At 40.6% G+C, this 14,717-nt stretch overlaps 1 protein-coding gene across 12 annotated transcripts in view, besides 1 other annotated feature; it reads right to left on the bottom strand.

The window, feature by feature from the left end:
• Nucleotides 1–11,710, bottom strand: part of MIA2 (MIA SH3 domain ER export factor 2) — a 154,608-nt gene extending 142,898 nt beyond the window's left edge. For 11 of the 12 annotated variants that reach the window (XM_024449592.2, XM_024449595.2, XM_024449594.2 and 8 more), the window contains exons 1-3: nt 11,396–11,710; nt 8,570–8,703; nt 4,978–5,064 (exon numbers count right to left, since the gene is read on the bottom strand). In XM_024449592.2, coding sequence (XP_024305360.1) covers nt 4,978–5,064; nt 8,570–8,703; nt 11,396–11,510 — 336 coding nt within the window. In that variant the 5' untranslated portion in view covers nt 11,511–11,710. The remainder of the gene's footprint in view (nt 1–4,977; nt 5,065–8,569; nt 8,704–11,395) is intronic. The other variant, XM_047431399.1, reaches the window with a different exon arrangement.
• Nucleotides 12,556–12,735: an enhancer, noted in NCBI's record as "active region_8289". NCBI's record gives its function as "activates an Ori minimal core promoter by ATAC-STARR-seq in GM12878 lymphoblastoid cells {active_cell/tissue: GM12878}" and the evidence as "EXISTENCE:reporter gene assay evidence [ECO:0000049][PMID:35858748]".

Here is a 14,717-nt window from a genome sequence, read left to right as displayed (position 1 = left end):
AAATTTATTTTCTTTGTAAGGTATCCAGTCTCTGGTATTCTGTTATAGCAGCACAACATTGACTAAGAGGGGAATTTCACAGCATATGGTTATAGCTCAGACAGACCAGAGACTCTAAAGCAAGCTTGTCCAACCTGCAGCTTACAGGCTGCATGCAGCCCAGGATGGCTTTGAATGTGGCCCAACAAAAATTCATAAACTTTTAAAAAATACTATGGGATTTTTTTTTTGCAATATTTCTTTTTAGCTCATCAGCTATATTAGTGTATTTTATGTGTGGCACAAGACAATTAATTCTTCTTCTTCCAGGGTGGCCCAGGGAAACCAAAAGATTGGACACCTCTGCTCTAAAGCATGAAAACCTTGTTAAAAGTTGCACCAAAACGCTGGACACAGTGGCTTATGCCTGTAATTCCAGCACTTTGGGAGGCCAAGGCAGGAGGACTGCTTGAGCCCAGGAGGTCAAGCTGCAGTGAGCCATGATTGCACCACTTCATTCCAGCCTAAGCAACAAGGCAAGATCCTGTCTTTAAAAAAAAAAAAGGTTAGCTAGGTGCGGCGGCCCATGCCTGTAATCCCAGTGCTTGGGGAGGCTGAGGTGGGCAGACTGCTTGAGCCCAGGAGTTTATACCCAGCCTGGGCAACATGGAGAACCCCTGTCTCTACAAAAAAATACAAAAATTAGCCAGGCATAGTGGCATGCGCTGTAGTCCCAGCTACTCTGGAGGCTGAGGTGGGAAGATCACTTGAGCCTGGGAGGTTGAGGCTCCCGTGGACTATAATTGCACCACTGCACTCCAGCCTTGGTGACAGAGTGAGACCTGTTTAAAAAAAAAAAAAAGTTGCACTAAAACAATTTGACTTTATTTATTGAGATATTGCATACAGCCAATGGAAGTGAGGATCTACTTGCTCATCTCACAGAACCACCAAATCATTAAGAAGAAACATGATGAAGACTTTTTTTTTAATCTGAATGTTAGAAATAGCGATGTGTGCTGCCTTTGGATATTACCATTAGGAAATGAGAATAAAGTTTAGGTTTTTTAAAGAATAAGCTTCAGAATTGCAATTTTACAATATATACTTGGCACTGCAGTCTAGTACATGATTAAGAACAGACTCTGGAGTCAAACCCTTTGGCTTCAATGCCCAACCCTGCCATCTACTACCTCTGTGAACTTGGGTGAATTTTATGATCTTTCTATGCCTCAATCTCCTTCATCTGTAAGATGGGGATGTTGGGGCTCAGAAATACCCCTGAAATGAAGGCATCAGAAGCAAAATTATTTTCTGACCTTCTCCTATTCTCCACCTCTCAGTCTCATTTTCCCCTGAGGCTAGTCATAGAAAGTAGAATCCCCCTTTCCCAAGGCAGGTCATAGAAACCAGAACCCCTTTTCTCCAAAGCCAGCCATATAATCTAAAATTATTACTCTAATTTTTCCTCCTCTTTTCTATGCAAAGCTATTTATAAATTATCTGACCTACCTTGTTTGATTGTAGGGCGTAAGACCCCCATTCCAGGGAAGGCCCTGCCCTATAGCCAGAAAGATGCAATGCATGCTCAGCAAAGCCAAGAAGAATCCAGACAGACAGGCTTTTCTGGGTTCCCCCACTCAGTCTACTGCATTAGATCATACCCTTTTTGTTCAGTCATATCTCTACAGGGCTATCCATACTTTATTGAAGCTAAGCATAAAAATGGACAGTTTCCTCTGTATCTTCGGGTCTTCATTCTTTTTTCTGTTTGTTTTTTGAGATGGAGTCTCGTTCTGTTGCCCAGTCTGGAGTGCAGTGGCATGATCTCCACTCACTGCAACCTCTGCCTCCCGGGTTCAAGCAATTCTCCTGTCTCAGCCTCCCAAGTAGCTGGGAAAACAGGCGCACATCACCACACCTGGCTAATTTTTGTATTCTTAGTAAAGACGTGGTTTCACCGTATTGGTCAGGCTGGTCTCAAACTCCTGACCTCAGATGATCCACCTGCCTTGGCCTCCCAAACTGCTGGGATTACAGGCATGAGCCACCACCCCCAGCCTGGTTCTTCATTCTGAAGTTTCGTGTGTCACGTAAAATTGTGATCAAATAAATTTGTATGCCTTTTCACTTATTAATCTTCCTTTTGCAAGTTGACTTTTCATCTGACTTTCAGAGGGAAATTTCCTCCTTGAATCCTCCAGGGAAACTGACAGTACCTATTTTACCGAGGTGTCGTGAGGATTAAATGAGTCAAGTGTTTAGAATAGTAACTGTCTCTAGTAAATACTCCCATATCCCAGCCCAAAGTTACAGTACCCCAGATACAATGAGAAATGTGGGGATAAAAGGCCCAAATCGTCTTGCCTCTCTCTCTATTAAAGACAACTCCAAAGGGCCATTGCAGCTCCAGAGCTCCTTAGGAAATCAACTGAGACCTTCACTGCAACTACATCACAATTTGACTTCTCTGTCTGCCTGGTCATGCTTCTTTTTTCTTTGTCTTCTTTTTTTTTTTTTTTTGAGACAAAGTTTCACTCTGTCACCCAGGCTGGAGTGCAGTGGAGCAATCTTGGCTCACTGTAACCTCCGCCTTCTGGGTTCAAGCAATTCTCCTGCCTCAGCCTCCCAAGTAGCTGGGATTACAGGCGTGCACCACCACACCCAGCTAATTTTTGTATTTTTAGTAGAGACGGGGTTTCACCATGTTGGTCAGGCTGGTCTTGAACTCCTGACCTCAAGTGATCCGCCCATCTCAGCCTCCCAAAGTGCTGGGATTACAGATGTGAGCCACAATGCCCAGCCAAGTCCCGCTTTTTCTTTTGTTCTTCACAGGTGCTATTCCCAAGAGTACTACCCAGCAAACTTCTTGGATGCAAAGATTCATCTCAATATCTGTTTCCCAGGGAACTTGACATAAGAATTTGAGGCATCTGTGTGCTACTTTGTGCCTGGCACTGTGCTAGGTGCTGGGATTCTGCAGTAAACAACAGAAAAAACTAATTGTAAATTGCAATAAATGAGGACAGGTGTGGTGGCTCACACCTGTAATTCCAGCACTTTGGGAGGCCGAGGCAAGTGGATCACTTGAGGTCAGGAGTTCAAGACCAGCCTGACCAACATGGTGAAACCCCATCTCTACTAAAAATACAAAAAATAGCCAGGCTTGGCAGTGGGTGCCTGTAATCCCAGCTACTTGGAAGGCTGAGGCAGGAGAATCACTTGAACCCAGGAGGCGGAGGTTGCAGTGAGCAGAGATCATGCCATTGCACTCCAGCCTGGGCAATAAGAGGTGAAACTCCATCTCAAAAAAAAAAAAAATGCAATAAGTACTATGAAGGAAATAAACAGAAAGCTGTGATTAAGAAGCAATAATTCCTTTAGAATCATCATGGAAGGCCTCTCCAAGGCACTGGTTTTTATTTTTAATTTTCAAACTCAGCATACTTTCATTTCAGTTTTATTGAGGTATAATTGGTATACATAAACTGCATATAATGAATGTATGCTTTTGAACAAATGTATACACTTGTGTTACCATCACCACAATCCAGATATTAAAACATATCCTTTGCTTCCAAAAGTTTCCTAGGAGGCACTGATGTTTAATCTCAGGCCTAATGGATAAGAAGGAACTAGCCAAGTGAAGTATTTGGGGAAAGCATTCCAACCAGAAGAAATAGCCTGTTTGGGTCCCCAGGCTGGGAAAGAGCCTGGCATGTTCTAAGAACAGTCAAAAGTCCAGATTAGCCAGGATCATGGTGAGTGAGGGGAGAGTGGCACCAGAGACAGGGTCAGCAAAGGAGGCAGGAGCAGATCATGTGGGAATGCGAAGCCAGGGTAAGAAGTCTGGGATTTATTCCAGGTCCAGTGAAAAGCCACTAAAGGGCTTTAACCAAAGGAATGACATAATCAGATTTTTTGTTTTTACAAGATTCATTACTGTTTGGAGAATGGATTGAAAGAGGGCAAAAGTATAGGCAAGAAGTATAGTTAGAAGGCTACTTAGTATTCTAATCAATAGATGAAGCTGCTCATGTTGGCACACCTGTAGTCCCAGCCATTGGTGAGGCAGAGGCGGGAGGATTGCTTGAGCCCCAGAAATTCTGGGCTGTAGTACAGTTTGATTGTACCACTGCTTTCCAGCCAAGAGATGATGGTGCCTTGAATTAGGGCGAAAATGGAATTGAAGAGAAGACAATATACTCCAGATATATTTTAGAGATAGAACTGACAGGACCAATTATTATACAGTAAATAGACAGCTAATCCCAGAGTTTGTGATGGGAAAGAGCCAGAAAATAGGCAGTTTGTTTAACTAGATAGACTCACTTCTCGCTGACCTTATTTAAGGTAAATTGGCTTAACCCAGAATCTGAATTAAATGAGCTAACCAAGTTTATTAATTGAAAAGCCACCTCCTGATTCCCTTGAAGCCCAACATTATCATGCTCATGAAAAACTCCAACAGCAAAAGAGGATGTACAGATATGAGACTAAGGAGCGTGGTGGAAAATAAACTTTTATCTTAGTAAGACAATAGCATTAGTAATAATATATAACACTTACTGAGCATTTAATGCTGTTCTATGTACTTTACATATACTCATTTATTCTTCAATATATGTAAGGTAGCACTATATTATACTCAGCACCCCCATTTTACAGATAAGGAAATTGAGGCATACCAGGCCACATAGCTTGTAAGTGGTTGAGTCAGACTTTAAACTCAGTCCATCTCCAGAATCCATGCTCTTAACAATTACACTCTACTGCCTGTCTGTTAATTGTTCAGAAAGCAAAATCTTTTACTGTCACCTAATTTGTCTTACTTAATTTTATTCAAATATTCAAGCTATTCCTAGAGTAAGTTCTCAGGCCAACTATTTTATGCATTTACTATAAAAGGTACATAACCAATAGGCACTGATACCTGGGAAAACTGTTTTAACCAAGAAATTTTAAATTCAATTAACAACTGAGAATGAGTTTACTCACTTTCGTTGACATCTGAATTTCCTCAGATATGAACACCTCTTCAATCTGGACTGCATCTCTGGGAAAATATCCAAACTCCTTTCCTTTCTGTCAAAATGAAGAACAAAGATTATCGAGGAAGAATGATCAAAGCAATAATAATTATTGAACCTAATTTTGTCCCATGTCCTTGGCTTTCATCTACTCTGAATCGCAAACATTACTCGACTATCAATTTCCATATAAAAAAGAGTGAAATAATATTCTTTTGTTATTCAAAAGAAGAGCATTTATTTAAGGAACAAAGAGCCAAATCATAAAATGTCACTGTTTCAAACTTCAGAAGGAAACCTGTTCCACTTACTCATTTTATTCGTTTTTCTGTTCTTTAACGACCTTTCTTGTCCAGGTCAACTGCAGATTTACACTAGTAGACCTGGGATATCAAAAGGCAAGGCAATGGCGGCGGTAGCCAAGCTAGATGGAGTAGTGACATATTCAATGTTTTCAGGATGTTAAAATCAGACAGGCGGTTTAAACTCTGAAGGGCCACAAATGGATTCATCATGATAGTAAAGGTCTACAAGTCCTTCAGGGAGGATTTGGTTCCATTCTACTTTTCTGGGGCTGCCTTGATAACAGAGATCCTCTTCACCCAGTTCAAGCACAGGCAGATTGTGCCCCAAGGGTGAAGGCTTACCCATCCACCCTCAGCGCATTTCCTAACCCTGTTAAAGTTTTAAAGAACATATTTCTTTTGGCCCTCTAATCCAGCACCATTATACCTCAACTGTGATTTGTCCAGCTCTCCAGTTGCCATAACTATTTGGAAACTGACAGACTGTGGGTCCACAGTGTGGTTCCTTAAACAGCTAACTGCATGAACTAAACATCAAATGCACAAAACTAAATGTGCCTAAAACTTCACCCTGGCTGCACACATTAAACACTGCTTTTGTGTGGAACCATTATTTTCACGTATAGTAAATAAAAAAGAATGCTTTCTTTGCCTTTTATGACACCTAAGATGTCAGTTTTTGTATGGCTGCATTGGATGCCTCCAATGAATTCAAGATATAGATTTTGTTTTTGTTTTTGTTTTTGTTTTTTAATAGAGACAGAGTCTTGCTCTGTTGCCCAGGCTGGAGTGCAGCAGTGCAATCATAGCTCACTGTAACCTCTAACTTCCAGGCTCAAGCTGTCCTCCTGCCTCTGCCTCCCTCAGCCTCTGAAGTAGCTAGGACTACAAACATGTACCACAACACCCCACTAATTTGTGTGTGTGTGTGTGTGTGTATTCTTGCTATGCTGCCCAGGCTAGTCTCGAACTCTTGGTCTCAAGTGTTCCTCCTGCCTCAGCTTCCCAAAGCACTGGGATTATAGGCATGAGCCACCACACCTGGCCTTAGACTGGCATTTTAAAGGCACCAGAAGCAGTAGGGAAAGTTGGGAACTGCAGAGGCCAGACAAGCAATTCTGGCCAGTGACTATTAGAAGTCCAGTCCTATAGCCCCTGATGGGAAAAGCAGAATTTTTAAATAAAATATGCTCCTTCAAACAGTGACCACAGAGGCTATACAAAAAAGGAGGTCTGGTGCATATGTAATATGGAAGTGATACATGTATCAAGTCGACCATGCTTGTTCAGCTTGGGAGTAAAAGTACTTATCATAGCACCTTTTCATTATAAACCATAATGATACAATCAAAGATAAACCTTTTTTCAATGGAAAGTATTAATCATTAATTTTCCCATGTTATATATTCAGAGATGATTTAACCTTCTAGGAATTTCAGCATACTAAAGCTTCGGGCCAAATAAAAAGCTCTATCAGCTAGGTTTTTTTGTTTTTTGGGTTTTTTTTTTTTTTTTTTGAGACAGGGTCTCACTTTGTAACCCAGGCTGGAGTGCAGTGGTACAATCATGGTTCACTGCAGCCTCTACCTCTGGGCTCAAGCGATCCTCCCACTTTAGCCTCTCAAGTAACTGGCTTTACAGGCATGCACTACTACACCCGGCTAATTTTTATATTTTTAGTAGAGATGAGGTTTCGCCATGTTGTCCAAGCTGGTCTCAAACTCCTGGCCTCAAGTGATCCGCCCACTTTAGCTTCCCAAAGTGCTGATATTACAGGCATGAGCCACCAAGCCTGGCCCAAGCTGTTATTTTTTTCTATAAAAAACTTATACACCTAGGGCCGGGCATAGTGGCTCACGCCTGTAATCCCAGCCCTTTGGGAGGCCAAGGCAGGTGGATCACCTGAGGTCAAGAGTTCCAGACCAGCCTGGCCAACATGGTGAAACCCCGTCACTACTAAAAATACAAAAATTAGCCAGGTGTGGTGGCAGACACCTGTAATCCCAGCTACTCGGGAGGCTGAGGCACGAGAATAGCTTGAACCCGGGAAGTAGAGGTTGCAGTGAGCTGAAATCGTGCCACTGCACTCCAGTCTGGGTGACAGAGAGACTCTGTCTCAATAAAAAAAAAAAACTTGTACACCTAGCTTCCCTAGCTACCAGCCTTTCTGGGGATCTCTTCAATAACAACTCAGCCCTTCATTTGCTCAGAAACACATGTCTTTGAATCTGATTAACTAAAACTTTGCAGTCTCTTTAAAACTTGACCATTGGCAGGGCGCAGTGGCTCACGCCTGTAATCCCAGCTCTTTGGAAGGCCAAGGCGGGTGGATCACCTGAGGTCAGGAGTTTGAGACCAGCCTGACCAACATGGTGAAACTCCATCTCTACTAGAAATACAAAAAGCAGCCGGGCATGGTGGCACACGCCTGTAATCCCAGCTATTCGGGAGGCTGAGGCAGGAGAGTTGCTTGAACCTGGGAGGCAGAGGTTGCAGTTAGCAGAGATCGCGCCACTGCACTCCAGCCTGGGCAACAAGAGCGAGACTTTGTCTCAAAAAACAAACAAACAAAAACCTTGACCATTGGCAGCACCAAGAAATGACTGGGGTTGCCTAGCCATCCCATAATATGAAGTCCCTCCAAATAAATATAAAAATATAATTTTAAAAACAATGCATGCTATGTAAAAATAAATTCAAGGCATTCTCTTAGCCCTCCATCCCAACCATACTGCCTTCCCAAAAAGCCTCTTTTATAGAAATATTGGAACCAACACTGAACATGATCATTTTTGTTTGTTTAAATACATTAAGGGTTCTTAATATATACACCGTGTTTTGAAACTCTTAACGTTTCTTTAAAGATGAAAAGCAGGTATCCTTGGGCGGGTGCGGTGGCTCACACCTGTAATCCTGGCACTTTGGGAGGCCGAAGCAGGCAGATTACTTTAGCTCAGGGGTTTGTGACCAGCCTGGGCAACAGAGTGAAATGCTGTCTCTACCAAGAATACAAAAATTAGCCGGGCGTGGTGACACACACCTGTAGTCCCAGCTACTCAGGAGGCTGAGGTGGGAGGATGGCTTGAGCTCAGGAGTTGGAAGCTGGAAGTTGTAGTGAGCTGTGATCACACCACTGCATTCCAGCCTGGGCGACAGAGCCAGGCCCTGTTTCCAAAAAAAAGAAAAGAAAAGGAAGGAATCTTTGTGCAAGTTGGTCATTTATTCTGCATTCAATTTTTAAAAGTAGTTACTTACACTTCCTGCCCACAAATCTTCCCTTTCTCCTGCAAGTTTAACATAAACAGATATCTCTTCTCCCTTAGTGAAGTTCAGGTATCGGCAGTCAGGTCCTCTATAATCTCTCATGGCTGAGACTCTGTTTATTAAAGCTATGTAAAACATGTAAAGAAAAATACACACTTTAAATTAAAATGATATTTCTCCTCCTTTCATCTTGCTGTCCCTCAATCCATCCTATATGTTTCCAAATGCTAATTTCTTTATATCATTTATGGCCTCAAAAACCTACATAGCCTTCCCACTGCATGCAGAATCGAGTCTAAGCCTCTGGGCCTGGTATCCAAGGCTGTCCATAACCTGGTCCCCTTTCTCTATTTGAAAGGACCTCTTCCTATCCCTTCACACAGACTTGGCTACACTCAAGTTTGTTTATCCATTGTCCCTAGAACATATCATTATCATTCTCTAGTCTGTAGGAAAGGACAAAAGATAATCAGTTTTCTTCCTGGCACTTACTATATTCTAGGCATTATGATAAGTGCTCTCATATTTTTATTTTATTAAATCCTCAAAACAGATCTATGAGGTAAATAATTTCATCTCAGTCTAATAAATGAGCCTTTAGTGAAGGCTCAGAGAATTGGTCACATAGCCCTAGTGGAGCCCAATTTGCCCTGAGGTTCTTCTCACTGCAAAATCCTCTTCCTTATTCTGAGCTTTTCTTTCTGTCCTTTCCCCAACCTAGACACCATTTTGCCCCCTTCATGCTTAAGTCATGTTCTGCTTCCTCTATGAAGCAGCCTGATTATTCCAGCCTACTGCGATTGCCCTTTCTCTGAACTTTAATATTGCCTATTATCCTTACTAGGCTGCATCACTATTTACTGTTTCATTTTAACCTGTCTTGTCATCCTTCACTAAAATTAAATTTTCTGAAGGGGAAGAAACTTATCTTACATCTCATCTGATTTCCCTTACATGCATAGCACCTGCCCCCCGCCCAACCCAACGTGTAGTAGGCCTCAATAACTATGAACGAATCACAGCCACATATGCCAGATTCAGCAGTTCAACACATGAATATACACACCATATTACCTATTATAATTATACAAACATATGTAAAATAAGATATTTTTATTGTCATGCAATTAAAGTTAAAATAACATTATAAATTTCTATAAATTTGAATGTTCCCTTTTCATGTTCTATATCTGGCCCTAAGGAAACTAAAATGAAGTTGTAATATAAAGAGGGAAAGAAAAATTTTTTTTTCTTTATATATATTTTTTTGAGGCAGGGTCTTGTTCTGTTGCCCAGGCTACAGTGCAGTGGCATAATGATAGCTGACTGCAGCCTCCACCTCCCAAGTTTAAGCCATCCTCCCACCTCAGCCTCCCTAGTAGCTGGGACTATAGCTTGTGCCACCATGCCCAGCTAACTTTTTTGATTTTTTGTAGAGATGAGGTCTCACTATGTTGCCCAGGCTGGTCTCAAACTTCTGGACTCAAGTGATCCTCCCACCTCAGTCTCTCAAAGTGCTGGGATTACAGGTGCAAGCCACCACACCCAGCAAAAGATTATTATGATAATAAAACATCTAGTAAACTTCTCTATATATTACATTATATGTCCAAAAAGTTAAGGAAGAATGTTTACTCATAATTATTACTTATAAATTATTTATGTTTATACTAATAACATTTTTCATTTTTCATTTTCATGTTGCAAATTAGAAGTAATTCTCACAGCTGGGCATGGTGGCTTATGCCTGTAATCTTAGCACTTTGGGAGGCTGAGGCAGGTGGATTCCCTGAGCTCAGGCTGGGCAACACAGTGAAATCCCATCTCTACTAAAATACAAAAAATTAACCAGGTGTGGTGGCGTGCGCCTATAATCCCAGCAACTTGGGAGGCTGAGACAGGAGAATCGCTTGAACCTGGGAGGCAGAAGTTGCAGTGAGCCGAGATCGTGCCATTGCACTCCAGCCTGGGTGACAGAGCAAGACTCCATCTCAGAAAAAAAAAAAACCAAAAAGGTAGAATTTATTTAAAGCAATTTTTGATTCTGCTGAGAGAGAAAAAATATGTATTTATTATAAAATAAAAACAAAAGGAAAAATAACTTATTTAAAGCAACTCTAATATATTGGGATGTAATTTATTTTGCACCATAAAACTAATAACAGAAATAAGTTCTTTAACAATAGAATGGAAATTAATTTCCATTTACAGTAAAGAAAGCTTTATATTCAATGATATAAATAAAAAATTTATATTCTAGTCCTGATTTCAGTATTTTTACATAATAAATAACACAGAAATGATTAACATTTAGTAAAGTTTAGAAGAATAAATCATGATGGTTTGAAATAAAAACACTTTTTAGGAACGTCATGAGAATCAGAAAGTTCTGAGTGTGAAACAGAAACTAAAAAGTAAAAGGCCTTCATAAATAAAGGCCTATCAAATTAGCCTGATGTCTTTTTTTATATGAATCAATTAGATTTATCTTTTTTTTTTAATGGGCAGCCTTCTGAGCCAGAATAGGCTCAGAGACTCCTAGATTAATCTTTAAAAATAGTAAAAGGACTGACTAGTTTTTTAACTTCTGATATATTTCTATAGCAGACTGATTTTTGCTATTTGTATATTTGTATTAAATACTACCACAAAATGCTTTGCTTCCAACATTTCTTTTTTATACCAAGCTGTACTTCATAATCCAAATATTTCTCAATGGTATCAATACTCATTTTTATCATGCGTGACCACAATAAGATTTTATGTCATTGCAGAGCCTCAATTTAGGAGGAGAAGAAGCGGGGGAAGCAAACTTACCTTCACATTCCAAGTCACCACATTTTTTAAGGTCTGCCAGCAGTTTTGTACTCTCCAGACACTTTGTCAGAGAAATAGCCAGAAGAAGGATTCTGTGAACGCCAAATTTTGCCATGCTAAAACAAGCAACCGGGAATCCCAAGTGAAGTTTAAGCCAATTGTTCAGGTTGTAGAGATGTCAGCCAAAACTGGAGATATTCTACTCTCTTCACTAACTATAAGAGAAAAAGGGTTGAAGTTTTAAAAATCTCTTGATAACTACCTTTTTCTATCGGCTTGTTGGTTTAACTTGAGAGACAAACACTGTCTGTTTTCAATCTGCAGTGTCAGGTATTCCTGTAATACCTAAGGGTTTAATAATTAACAAGGATTTTTAGTTGGACTAATGTGTTATAAAGGAAGCCCATGTAAAACTGTCTCACTTAAAGGTACCTTGTGTTCAACAGGATAGTTTTTAAGTAGGCCTCCGCAAAAGGGTAGTTACCTGCAAATACTAATTTCAGTGGATAACGTATATAGCTGTGTGCAAAAAGAGTAATAATTTATGTTAAAAGAATGGCTTTGAAATATGGTGAAAAGTATTTTTAAAAAGATTCCACTTTTCTATTTAAAAACCCCTTATTGTTACTATGAAGTTAAAACTTATTTAGTTAAGAACAATAGTTGAAATGTAGTAAGTACTTACTATGTTCCAGGTACTGTCTTAAGTAAGTACTTAAATATATGATCTGATATAACCTTCACACCAACTCTCTGAGGTAGGTAATATTATCGTCCCCACTTTTGTGTATAAGGAAACTGAGGCACAGAGAGATGGGTTAAATCACTTACTCAATGGCACATATGAGTGGAAAAGAAATGTTAACCTAGGCACAATGAGACCCCATACTTATAACCAACCACTTGCTTTACCACCAAGAATCAAGTCATCTGCCATTGAAAGAGGTCACTCTGTCTACAACAATACTACTCCAGAAACAGCAGGTAGAGTATTACTCCATGCTTTAAAAACTGTATGCATATTTCTTTAAGTGGACAGAGAATGAAAGAGAGATATCTGAATAAGTGCCCCCCCACATGGTAGAAGTATACAGTGTGATTTCCGTTGGTATTTATTTTCTTCTTTGTAGTTTCCTATATTGTTTGGCTTTCTTTTTTAAAAAAGAAAGCATATGTCTTTTTTAGTTTTGTTTTGTTTTTGAGACAGAGTCTTACTCTAGCCCAGGCGGGCCTCCCAGGCTTGAGCAATCCTTCCACCTCCCCTTCCTGAGTAGCTGAACCACAGGCATGCGGGACACAGCTGGCTAATATTTTATTTTTAGTAGAGATGAGGTCTCACTGTGTTGGCCAGGCTGATCTTGAACTCCTGGACTCAAGTAATCCTCCTGCTTCAGCCTCCCAAAGTGCTGGGATTACAAGCATGAGTCACCACACCTGGCCCGTATATTATTTTAAAATAAATCAGCTGGGCGCGGTGGCTCACATCTGTAATCCCAGCACTTTGGAAGGCCGAGGTGGGTGGATCATGAAGTCAGGAGATCGAGACCATCCTGGCTAACACAGTGAAACCCCGTCTCTACTAAAAAATACAAAAAATTAGCCAGGAGTGGTGTCGGGCGCCTGTATTCCCAGCTACTCGGAAGGCTGAGGCAGGAGAATGGCCTGAACCTGGGAGGCGGAGCTTGCAGTGAGCCAAGATCTTGCCACTGCACTCTAGCCTGGGCGACAGAGCGAGACCCCGTCTCAAAAAAATAAATAAATAAAATTAAAAAATAAAAATAAAAAAATAAATCAGCCGGGCCCGGTGGCTCATACCTGTAATCCCAGCACTTTGGAAAGCCAAGGCAGGAGGATCACCTGAGGTCAGGAGTTCAAGACCAGCCTGGCCAATATGGTAAAACCCCATCTCTACTAAAAATACAAAAATCAGCCAGGTGTTGTGGCAGGCACTTGTAATCCCAGCTACTTGGGAGGCTGAGGTAGGAAAATCGCTTGAGCCCAGGAGGCAAAGGTTACAGTGAGCTGAGATTGCGCCACTGCACTCCAGCCTGGGCAACAGAGAGAGAGTCCATCTCAAAAAAATAACAATAATGAAAAAATAAATAAATAAATACTAAAATAAAGCTATGAAAATCCAGTCATTTGAAGGTTACCGTCACTCAAAAAGGATCAAAATCCCACATTGGAAATTTTTGGGTAAAACTGTAGGTCTCAGTCGATTTTCAGAAACCATGGTTGTCCTATTTCATTCTTGGGAAAATATTTGTCTAAGCCCTCCTTTGCTGTACTTTTTCACTGTATTTGGGCATATCAGTGAGCACACAGTTGGTCTTCTGATTCTTAGGTCAGAACCCAGCACTTGTATGATGTCACACTCCCCTCTAGTGCCTGACACAAATAGGACAAATACCCAGCCCCCGAGCAAGCTAAAGTGAAGGAAGGACTTTTGCTTTCAAGATCCTAAGTAAAGGAAGTTTGTTTGTTGGTTTGTTTTCAAAAAACAATGATCAGTAGGAAGCCCGCTCTCTCAGAGCTAAGATTTTGATATCCTTCAAAAGAATCTGATAGAGCATGCATTTCAGGATAATTTGGCTTGCAACAGAGCACTGCACAGTTGTATGCATACATACACAAAAAGGTGTAGGTTAGGCCAGGTGCCTCACAACTGTAATCCCAACACTTTGGGAGACTGAGGCAGGAGGATTGCTTGACCCCAGGAGTTTGAGGCTGAGTGAGCTATTGTCACACCACTGCATGCCACCCTGCGTGACAGAGTGAGACCCTGTCTCTATTTTTTTAGAAAAGATGTAGGTTAGTTTCTTGAGTACCTTTGCAAATCTACAAGCTGTGTTGTTAAGGACATTTAAAGAAGGATCAGCTCTTCAGCGTCAAAATTTAGCTCAGGGTTATTTGCATATTTTATATTACCAAATCCAGTATTAAATCAAGAACATTTAGTAATTAATGTAGTTTAACTCTCTTTGTTTTTGTATTAAATATTAAAGACAATATAAAGAATTTATGGATAAATTCAGAAGTAATTGACTTAATCATGTTCTAAGTTAAGAACAGCAAGGGCCCAGCAAAATCTAAATTTGGTATTCATTGGCCTGAGGGAGATTTCGGTCAAGAAAAATTTTTGCCTAAGATGCCGGTCTGGAGAGATTTGCTCCTATTAGAAATGCTCCCACACTCGTGCTACTTAATGCATTCAGATGATCTCATTTTATGTTCAGATCATTATTTAAATTATAATTTAACAAGATATCTGAAAATGTGGTAGCACAATGTTGATGAACTATCTCTAACAAACTGGATGAGG

The sequence above is a fragment of the Homo sapiens genome, chromosome 14, assembly GCF_000001405.40.
Source record: "Homo sapiens chromosome 14, GRCh38.p14 Primary Assembly".
Classification (NCBI taxonomy): Eukaryota; Metazoa; Chordata; class Mammalia; order Primates; family Hominidae; genus Homo; species Homo sapiens.
Note: the sequence above shows the minus strand (reverse complement) of the source record. Positions and strands in the feature narration are given on the sequence as shown.